Source organism: Homo sapiens, chromosome 12 (assembly GCF_000001405.40).
Source record: "Homo sapiens chromosome 12, GRCh38.p14 Primary Assembly".
Classification (NCBI taxonomy): Eukaryota; Metazoa; Chordata; class Mammalia; order Primates; family Hominidae; genus Homo; species Homo sapiens.
The window spans coordinates 32388099-32399064 of record NC_000012.12 but is presented as its reverse complement, the minus strand read 5'-3'; the positions used below and the strand labels follow the sequence as shown (position 1 = coordinate 32399064).

The 10966-nt window shown below is 44.5% G+C and overlaps 1 annotated feature.

Annotated features, from left to right (window-relative positions):
• Positions 35-204: an enhancer, noted in NCBI's record as "experimental_28311 CRE fragment used in MPRA reporter constructs". NCBI's record gives its function as "activates a minimal promoter by MPRAs in K562 erythroleukemia cells, with activity observed for the introgressed 12:32551880 variant allele {active_cell/tissue: K562}" and the evidence as "EXISTENCE:reporter gene assay evidence [ECO:0000049][PMID:34662402]".

The following is a 10966-nucleotide window of genomic DNA, read 5'->3' as shown; positions in this document are numbered from 1 at the left end:
TAAAACTACCGAATAAGTATTTCAGATAAGGAAACCAAGGTGCTGAACCTACAGTGGGGTCACATAGCACTGCAGAGCTGGAGTCTCCGCACCGAAGTCTGTCCTTACTCCACTGAACTAAACATCTTGCCAGGAGTATCGGGACAGAAAATGAAATAAGAGGTGTGGAAATAAAAGAGGGGTAGAGGTTAACAATCCAAAGGTTTCCAGAAGAGCAGCAGACCCTCCATTCAGGACTTCATTAGGAATGCACTTTACAGTCCTTTTGGTTGTTTTGAGACAGGGTCTCGCTCTGTCACCAAGGCTGCAGTGCAGTGGTGTGATCATAGCTCAGTGCAGCCTCGACCTTCTGGTCTCAAGCGATTCTCCTGCCTCAGCCTCCTGAGTAGCTGAGACAACAGGGGCGCGCCACTACTGCTGGCTAATTTTTGTAGTTTTTGTAGAGATGAGGCCTCGCTATGTTGCCCAGGCTGGTCTCTAACTCTTGGGCTCAAGCAATCCTACTGCCTTGGCCTCCCAAAGCTCTGGGTTACAGGCTTGAGTCACTGTGCCCAGCCTAGAGTCCTTTTAAATTATCATGTTTTCGTTTTTAACACCAGCTAAATACTAACCTGAAGAAATGCTTTTTTGTTTGTTTTTTAGATACCGGGTCACACCCTGATCCAAGCTGGAGTGCAGTGGCCCTATCAACTCACTGCAGCCTCGACCTCCTGGGCTCAAGGGATCTTACTGCCTCAGCCCCACCACTAGCTGGAACTACAGGCCCATGCCACCACACTCAGCTAATTAGTAGTATTTATTTATTTATTTGTTTATTTATTCTTAGTGGAGATGAGGTTTTCCTAGGTCGACCAGACTGGTCTCCAATCCCTGGGCTCAAGCATTCCTCCCACCTTGGCCTCCCAAAGAGCTGGGATTACAGCCGTGAGCCACAGTGCCTGACCAAAAAAATACATTTTAAATTGACTTGCTTATCTGCATTTGAAAATTCACTATTCTAATAACAAAGAGGCTGTGTCCCAAAAATCACACAGATAGGAGGCAAAAAGCCACCATTACAAGTATCCCAGCTCAAGCCAAGTTCCCCAGCCATCACTTCCATCTTGGAAGCCACCCCGCCTTTCTTCACATGGTCATTCACCCAGGTACCATCTCCAGCCCCCTGAAGTGTAATGGTAATTCGATCTTTCTCAGCCTTTGTGAAGGGCAGTTCAACTGTTTCAGTCTCCCTGGCTGCTACCCAAATAAACGTACTCCCAAAGAGAAGGAACTAGCCCTCTAATGATTTATGCAGCCATTCAGACCTTTATTAAAAGGAGCTTTTGCTCTCTTAGGATTTATTCTCTTTCTGACAGCGGCACTGTTATCTACTGTGCCATATAGTATCAAAAGTAATTTAAACAAGTAGTTTCAAATATAAATTAAAGCAGAAAGTTTTGCCTCCATATACATAAATTAACTATAAATGCAAATTTCTAACTTAGTTTATTTGCCTCAATAAAAAGATGGTGTTGAAATCAACAATACTATAGTAGCACGTTGGCTTAGAGCAACCTTTTTCTTTTTTTTTTGAGACAGAGTTTTGCTCGTTGCCCAGGCTGGAGTGCAATGGCGCGATCTCGGCTCACTGCAACCTCCTCCTCCCGGATTCAAGGGATTCTCCTGCCTCAGCCTCCCGAGTAGCTGGATTACAGGAACCTGCCACCACACCCAGCTAATTTTTGTATTTTTAGTAGAGATGGGGTTTTCACCATGTTGGCCAGGCTGATCTCGAACTCCTGACCTCAGGTGACCCGCCCGCCTCGGCCTCCCAAAGTGCTGGGATTACAGGTGTGAGCCATCACGCCCGGCCATATTATACTTTTGTACATACCATGGTAAGATCAACAGAAGGTGACACACTGAGGCTATAAGACTATTGTGCCAATCTATAATTCTAAATTTACATCTTTCTCTAATGACACTATTGCTTTATACAAGGCTCACACATCTACTAGGCATTTGCAGTAGCCCACACAGCTCTGCATGATTAGAATTCAGCAGAGGCTGGGCACAGTGGCTCATGCCTGTAATCCCAGCACTTTGGGTAGCTGAGGCACTAGGATCGCTTGAGCCCAGGAGTTTGAGACCAGCCTGGGCAACATAGTGAAATCCTGTCTCTACAAAAAAAAAAAAAAAAAAAAAAAAAAGATAATGCAATGGCATGACCTTGGCTCACTGCAACCTCTGCCTCCCGGGTTCAAGCAATTCTCCTGCCTCAGCCTCCCGAGTAGCTGGGATTACAGGCGTGTGCCACCATGCCTGGCTAATTTTTGTATTTTTAGTAGAGGCGGGGTTTCACCATGTTGGTCAGGCTGGTCTTGAACTCTTGACCTCGTGATCCACCCGCCTCCGCCTCCCAAAGTGCTGGGATTACAGGCGTGAGCCACTGCGCCAGGCCAATTTTGTTTTTTTTTTATTAGCCGGGCATGATGGCATGCACTTGTAGTCCCAGCTACTTGGGAGGCTGAGGTAGGAGAAACAGTTGAGCCCCAGAAGTTGAGAATGCAGAGAGCCATGATTGTGCCACTGCACTCCAGCCTGGGCAAAAAAGTGAGACCTTGTCTCAAATAAATAAATTGAAAAAAAAAAAAAAGAATTAACAGAATACTCTGAAATTTTCCACGAAAAAGAGACAAACTGATAAAAGAGATAAACCTGAAGTGATATTATTTATGCAGTATTTCAAATAGTTTGTTTTCAAAGTAGACACAAATAGATACATGATAAACATTTTAGTGAGAATATTGGCAATCAAAAATATTTTTTAAAATGCAAGGTATAAACATTTTCATGGTAATAGTTTTCAATTTGTTGAGAGAAAACAGTCTCCTCATTTTTAAGTCTCCAAATTGCAAATCAAAAACGTTGTTCATGAGGCTGGTCTGAATGCAGTGATGTTTACAACAGACTGATCACAACCAGTTACCGATTTGTTTCTTCTCCACTCCCACTGCTTTCAATAACTAGCCTTAAAAAAAAAAAAAAAAAAAAACCTGGGCACGGTGGCTAATGACTGTAATCCCAATGCTTTAGGAGGCTCAGGTGGGAGGATTTCTTGAGTCCAGGAGTTCGAGACTATCCCGGGCAAGAACATGAATCCTCCTCTCTACAGGGGAAAAAAAGAAAGAAAGAAAGATTTTAACGGCATCATTATATATATTTTTTCTTTTTTTGTCCTGGGTGAGAGGGAGGAAGTGGCTCATCATTATTTACAACAGTAAAAATCTTGAAGCAACTTAAATAGCCAATATAGGAAAGTATTTTGTTTTTTAAAAAGTATAATTTATTCATCCTATAGAATATTATGTCAACCTTAAAAATATTGTATTTGCAAACTTTTAATAACCTACAAAAATATTCACCATAAATGTTAAAAGGTGAAAAACAGGATTTAAAATTGTATATTCAGTATGATTCAAGTAAAGTCACCAAAATGTTAACAGCAGTTTTCATTGAGAGAGATTATGGGTGAATTGTATTGCTTCCTTTCTACTTTTCCATATCTTTCAAACTGGCTACAATAAATATATATTGCTTTATTACTAGAAAAAAAGAAGCAAACATTTGAGAAATAAATAAATGAATGGGATTGGCAGACCTGTATCTTTGGCCAATCTGAAGAAAAATAAGCTAATTTATTCCAGGTGAAATTAAAGTTTTTATCCTCAACTGAGCAGATGTCTCCCAAACTTCCTGTCTGTGAGGCAGAGATGCAAATCCTGTCCAAGGACACAGAGAACCTCTGCCAGTGAGAAGTATAATGAGTAGGCTCAGCTGTTAATAGGATCTTGAACTAAAAATCTGACACTGCCTCTGCAGCCTAATTGGTGTGATTATCACTTAGCCAATTATCACCCTGGGTATTTGCTGATCTAGGGGATCTTTAAGAACACAATCAGTTCTTGAATAATTTGTCCAACACCTTAGGCACAGTTTTTCCATCTGAAAATACACACTGTCACAGGCTCTCTAAGTCTGTTTTCAAACTTTATCAGATGCATTCTAGAACATATTTTAACTATATTATATTGAATTTTACATCCTAAATTAATGGAACTGCTTTAGAAGCATGGGTTTATTTCAGCATAGGGTTGCAAGTACCAGGAGAATGCCATTACTTCAGCTCATATTCCAGTGTTTTATGTTTGGTAGTTGGTATAATTTTGCTCAGTTGATCATAAAGAAATTTTTTAGATTCCACTGATGCAAAAAGAAAAAAGAACTCTTCACAACAAATAATTGAATAGACTTTTAATAGGTAAGATTTTCACCAATTAGGTTTTATTCTCATCTTTGATTTTGTTTTTATTTTATTTTATTTATTATTTTTTTTTGAGACGGAGTCTTGCTCTGTCGCCCAGGCTGGAGTGCAGTGGTGCGATCTCAGCTCACTGCAAGCTCCACCTCCCGGGTTCATGCCATTCTCCTGCCTCAGCTTCCCGAGTAGCTGGGACTACAGGCTCCCACCACCACGCCCGGATAATTTTTTGTATTTTTAGTAGAGATGGGGTTTCACCATGTTAGCCAGGATGGTCTCAATCTCCTGACCTCGTGATCCGCCTGCCTTAGCCTCCCAAAGTGTTGGGATTACAGGCGTGAGCCACTGCGCCCGGCCTATTTTTGTTTTTTGAGACGGCATCTTACTCTGTCTGGAGTCCAGTGGTAGGATCTCAGCTGACTGCAACTTCTGCCTCCCAGGTTCAAGCAGTTCTCCCTGCCTCAGCCTCCCAAGTAGCTGGGATTACAGGCACCCGCCACCATGCCTGGCTAATTTTTGTATTTTTAATAGAGGCGGGGTTTCACAATATTGGCCAGGCTGGTCTTGAACTCTTGACCTCAAGTGATCCGCCAGCCTCGGCCTCCCAAAGTGCTGGGATTACAGGTGTGAGCCACCACACCCAGCTGTTTGATATTTGTTAAGTACTCCTAGTACTTACCTAGGTATAGAATGTGATGATGCCCTTTCCATATTACATAAACATATTTAGTACCATGGCCTTTATTTTCTAATAAAGTAACCGAGAATTAGGACAACTATTCATGTGAATAAAGAAAAGGCTGACTTTTAAATATATACTAATTGCTGTTAATTCTACTGAAATAGCCAACTTTGAAGTTTGAATCTATATAAACCTAAGAAAAATGGTAACATTGACAAAAAAAAAACCAAAAAACTAATGCAAAGCTTAGCAATGTAATAATACTCCTTTTTTTTTTTTTTTTTTTTTGAGACGGAGTCTCAGTCTTGTTGCCCAGGCTGGCTGGAGTGCAATAGTGTGATCTCAGCTCACTGAAACCTCCACTTCCCGGGTTCAAGCAAGTCTCCTGCCTCAGCCTCCCAAGTAGCTGGGATTACAGGTACTCACCACCACGCCCAGCTAATTTTTTTGTATTTTTAGTGGAGACGGGGTTTCACCATGTTGGCCAGGCTGGTCTCGAACTCCTGACCTCAGGTGATCCGCCCACCTCAGCCTCCCAAGGTGCCAGGATTACAGACATGAGCCACTGCGCCCAGGGAAATAATACTTCTTTTTATTTTTAATTTTTAGAGAAAGGTTTTTGCTATGTTGGCCTGGTTGGTCTTGAACTTTTGGCCTCAAGCAATCCTCCTGCCTCGGCCTCCCAAAGTGCTGGGATCACAGGCATGAGCCACTGCACCCAACCATCAATGTAATAATAGTTCTTAGTTTTGTATTAGGAAGTTTATGAGAAAATATTTAAAAGTTGCCCTTAATTTTATAGAAAATCTGGACGAAAGGGTCATTCAAGGAGAAGAGTTGGAATTAAGGACCAGAAGAAAAAATAGCCTAGTTTCTGACTATATGTTGAAAAATAACATTATGACTTATCTCAAGGATTATTTATACAGTCAATTACAAGGTCATTAGAATTGACAGTTGGCTGGGTGAGGTGGCTAATGCCTGTAATCCCAACACTTTGGGAGGCCAAGGTGGGTGGATCGCCTGAAGTTAGGAGTTCGAGACCAGTCTGGCCAACAATGGTGAAACCCCGTACCTACTAAAAACACAAAAAAATTAGCCAGACGTGATGGCGTGCGCCTGTAATCCAAGCTACTTGGGAGGCTGAGGGAGGGTAATTGCTTGAACCAGGGAGGTGGAGATTGCAGTGAGCCGAGATCACGCCACTGCACTGCATGCAGCCTGGGTGACAGAATGAGACTCTGTCTCAAAAAAAGGAAAAAAAAAAAAAGGGCCAGGCACAGTGGCTCATGCCTGTAATCTCAGCACTGTGGGAGGCCAAGGCAGGTGGGTCACCTGAGGTCGTGAGTTTGAGACCAGCCTGACCAACATGCAGAAACCCTGTCTCTACTAAAAACAAAAAAAATTAGCCGGGCGTGGTCATGCATGCCTGTAATCCCAGGTACTAGGGAGGCTGAAGCAGGTCAACGGCTTGAACCCGGGAAGTGGGGGTTGCAGTGAGCTGAGATCTCGCCATTGCACTCCAGCCTGAGTGACAGAGCGAGACTCTATCTCAAAAAAAAAAAAAGGAGTTACAGTTATCAATAAGGCAGTTGAGTTAAATTATTTGATACAAATATTTAAAGGAGAAACCTAAGTGGACAAATACCAAAGCTTCAAGAAGGAATGATATCTACTTGTAAAATAAATATTGGGATTTTAAAGAAACACTGTCATGAAATAAAATATATGCATATTAGCTGGGCACGACGGTGCACACCTGCAGTCTTAGCTACTTGGGAGGCTGAGGCAGGAGGACTCCTTGAGCCCAGGCGTTCAAGTCCAGCTTGGGCAACACAGCAAGACCCTGTCTTTTTTTTTTTTTTTTTTTTGTGACAGAGGAGTCTTGCTCTGGCGCCCAGGCTGGAGTGCAGTGACGTGATCCCCGCTCAATGCAACTTCCACCTCCCGAATTCAAACGATTCTCCTGCCTCAGTCTCCTGAGTAGCTGGGACTACAGGGGCACGCCACCACGCCCAGCTATTTTTGTATTTTTAGTAGAGACGGGGTTTCACCATGTTGGCCAGGATGCTCTTGATCTCCTGACCTCGTGATCCGCCCGCCTCAGCCTCCCAAAGTGCTGAGATTACAGGCTTGAGCCACCATGCCCAGCCAACCCTGTCTCTTAAAAAAAAAAATATATATATATATATATATGCATATTTCGTAATGGTTATGCCTATTACACAATTTTAAAATAATAGTTTTTGAAAATGCTATTACTTAATGTTAATTGTTGTTTGATATTTATTTTTATTTTTTTGAGACAGTCTCCCTCTGTCACCCAGGCTGGAGTACAGTGGTGTGATCAAAGCTAACTGTGGCATTAAACTCCTGGGGTCAAGCAGTCCTCACACCTCAGATTCTGTAGCTGGGACTACCAGCACGTACCACCATGCTTGGCTAATTTTTTAATAGAGATGAGGACTCATTATATTGCCTATGGTGGTCTCAAACTCCTGACCTCAAATTGATCCTCCTGCCTTGGCCTCCCAAAGTGCTGGGATTATAAGCGTGAGCCACTGCACCTGGTCTGATATTTTTAGATGGACAATTAGTTCTACAAAAATTGAAAAAAAATTGTATATAGATGACTTAATATTTTTTAAAACTGAAGCAACCATGATGTGAAAAGAAATATTTTTTTTCTTATTTCATCTTTGTGATGAGGCCCGACCTGATCACCCCATTTAATAATCTGTTTTACTTTCTCCCTATCCCAATCTGACACAATCTTTTTTCCCTGTTCTTTTTATTTTTACCTTACAGTTTCATAATCTAACATACTGAGAGATGACAACGTGCTAGCAGCCCTTGCTCGCTCTCAGCGCCTCCTCCGCCTCGGCGTCCGCTCTGGCCGCACTCGAGGAGGCCCTTCAGCCCGCCACTGCGCTATGAGGGCCCCTCTCTGGGGCTGGCCGAGGCCTGAGCCGGCTCCCTCTGCTCTCGCGGAAGTGTGAAGAGAGAGGCGCTGCAAGAGCCAGGGGTGCGCGCGGCGCTCGCGGGTCGGCGCGAGTTCCAGGTGAGCGCGGGCTCGGCAAGCCCCGCACTCGGCGCGACCGGCTGGCGCCTGCTGGGTTTGATCGGGGGGACGAGTTCCCTCTGGGCTGCCAGAGTGCCCGGGCTACGTGCCGCAAAGTCCCGCAGCGGTGAGTGCCATTGAGAGGTGAAGCTGGCTGGGCTTCTGGGTGGGGTGGGGACTTGAGAACTTTTCTGTCTAGCTAAAGGATTGTAAATGCACCAATCAGCACTCTGTGTCTGCCTAAAGGTTTGTAAACGCACCAATCAGCACTCTGTCAAAACGGACCAATCAGCGCTCTGTAAAGCGGACCAATCAGCTCTCTGTAAAATGGACCAATCAACAGGATGTGGGTGGGGCCAAATAAAGGAATAAAAGCAGGCCACCGCTAGTAGCAGCAATCGGCTCGGTCCACTTTTAGGTAGTAGAGGTTTTGTTCTTTTGCTCTTCGCAATAAATCTTACTGCTGTTCAGTCTTTGGGTCTGCTGCTGTGTTTAAGCTGTAACATTCACTGGGAAGGTCTGTAGCTTCACTCCGGGAGCCAGGGGGGCTACAAACCCACCAGAAAGAATAAACTCCAGACACATCTGAACATAGGAAAGAAAAGACTCCGGACACACAGTGTGTAAGAACTGTAATATTCACTGTGAGGGTCCAGGGCCTCAAGACCAAGAACCCAACAATTCCGGATACAATACTATGATAGTTATATAATTATCATGCAACTCTTTTCTGTTCGTTTATTTGAGACAGAGTCTCCGTCTGTTGCCAAGGCTGGAGTGCAGTGGTGCGATCCCGGCTCACTGCAACCCCCCGCCCCCCCGGTTCAAGGGATTCACTTGTTTCAGCCTCCCCGAGTAGCTGGGATTAGGGGTGCACGCCACCACGCCCAGCTGCTTTTTTTTTCAGGACCTCAGGTGATCTGCCCACCTCAGGCTCCCAAAGTGCTGGGATTACAGTTGTGAGCCACTGCACCCAGCCACTAATATTATTTTTAATAACAGTACCTAGATAATTGGAGTCCTATATATTGACATGTGTGAAATTCATTCATTCACTTATACATTCCTTAATTCAGCAAGTTTTTTTTTTTGAGATGGAGAGTCTCTGTCACCCAGGCGGGAGTGCAGTGGCACGATCTCGGCTCACTGCAAGCTCCGCCTCCCGGGTTCACGCCATTCTGCCTCAGCCTCCCGAGTAGCGGGGACTACAGGCGCCGGCCACCATGCACGGCTAATTTTTTGTACTTTTAGTAGAGACGGGGTTTCACCGTGTTAGCCAGGATGGTCTCAATCGCCTGGCCTCATGATCTGCCCGCCGCGGTCTCCCAAAGTGCTAGGATTACAGGCGTGAGCCACCGCGCCTGGCAATTCACCAACTATTGAGAACTTATTTTGTGCCAGATTCTACTCTAGGCGTTTAAGATGCATTAGGGAAGAAAACGAAGGTTCATACCTTTTGGAAGTTACTATCATATATGTACCATGGATGGAAAGAGACACAAAAAACAGTAGTATCGGCTGGGCACCGGTGGCTCACACCTGTAATCCCAACACTTTGGGAGGCCGAGGTGGGTGGATCACTTGAGGTCAGGAGTTAAGGGACCAGCCTGGCTAACATGGTAAAACCCCGTCTCTACTAAAAATACAAAAAATTGGCTAGGTGTAGTGGTGCATGCCTGTAATCCCAGCTACTTGGGAGGCTGAGGCAGGAGAATTGCTTGAACACGAGAGGTGGAGGTTGCTGTGAGCCGAGATCGCCCATTACACTGCAGCCTGGGCAACAAGAGCGAAACTCTTAATAATAATAATAGCTACTAAAGACTAAACACTGGTTGAAAGTTGTTATATATGTTATTTCATTTAATCTTTGCAATAACCTTGCCAAGTAGGCTGTTTTTGTTTGTTTGTTTGTTTGTTTTGCTAGGTTTTGCTCTGTTGCCCAGACTGGAGTGCAGTGGCACTATCTTGGCTCACTGCAACCTCCACCTCCCAGGTTCAAGCAATTCTCCCTCTCTCAGTCTCCCAAATAGCTGGGGATTACAACCACGGCCACCACACCTGGCTGATTTAGAGCCGGGGTTTCACCATGTTGGCCAGGCTGGTCTCAAACTCCTGACCTCAAGTGATCCACCCAGCCGGCTTTTTTTCCCCCGATGTCGGGTGATCCAGCCGCCGTGGCGTCCCAAAGTGCTGGGATTACAGGCATGAGCCACTGTGCCCAGCCCAAGTAGGCAATTTTTAATCCTTGTTTGAAAAACAAGACCACTTAAGCTTGGAGAGGGTAAGAACCTTTCTAAAGTGACAGAGCTAGTAAGTGCGTGCCAGGGTTAGAATTTGAATAAAATTTTGTGTTTTTAAAAATAGTTCTGCTGACATAGTCTGCTATGGAACAAATACTCATCTAGATTTTGTGCACTTTTTGTTTGTTTGTTTTGAGATGGAGTCTCGCTCTGTCGCCCAGGCTGGAGTGCCGTGGCACGATCTCGGCTAACTGCAAGCTCCAGCTCTCGGGTTCACGCCATTCTCCTGCCTCAGCCTCCGGAGTAGCTGGGGCTACAGGCACCCACCACCATGCCCGGCTAATTTTTTTGTATTTATTTTTAGTAGAGAAGGGGTTTCACCGCATTAGCCAGGATGGTCTCGATCTCCTGACCTCGTCATCTGCCCGCCTCGGCCTCCCAACGTGCTGGGATTACAGGCGTGAGCCACCGCACTCGGCCGATTTTGTGCTTTTATTTATGGCTTCATTGTGAAATTTTTGAGAGCCCACGTTATCTTAATTTTTTTCCTTTGGATAAATCATTTATTTACATGGCTGAAAACAATATGTAAGAAAGGCATTCGTGCACTGAAAGAGTCTGGCTTCCACCCTTTTATCATACCCTCTGCTCTTTTACAGATAACCATTTCTATTGGTTTCCAC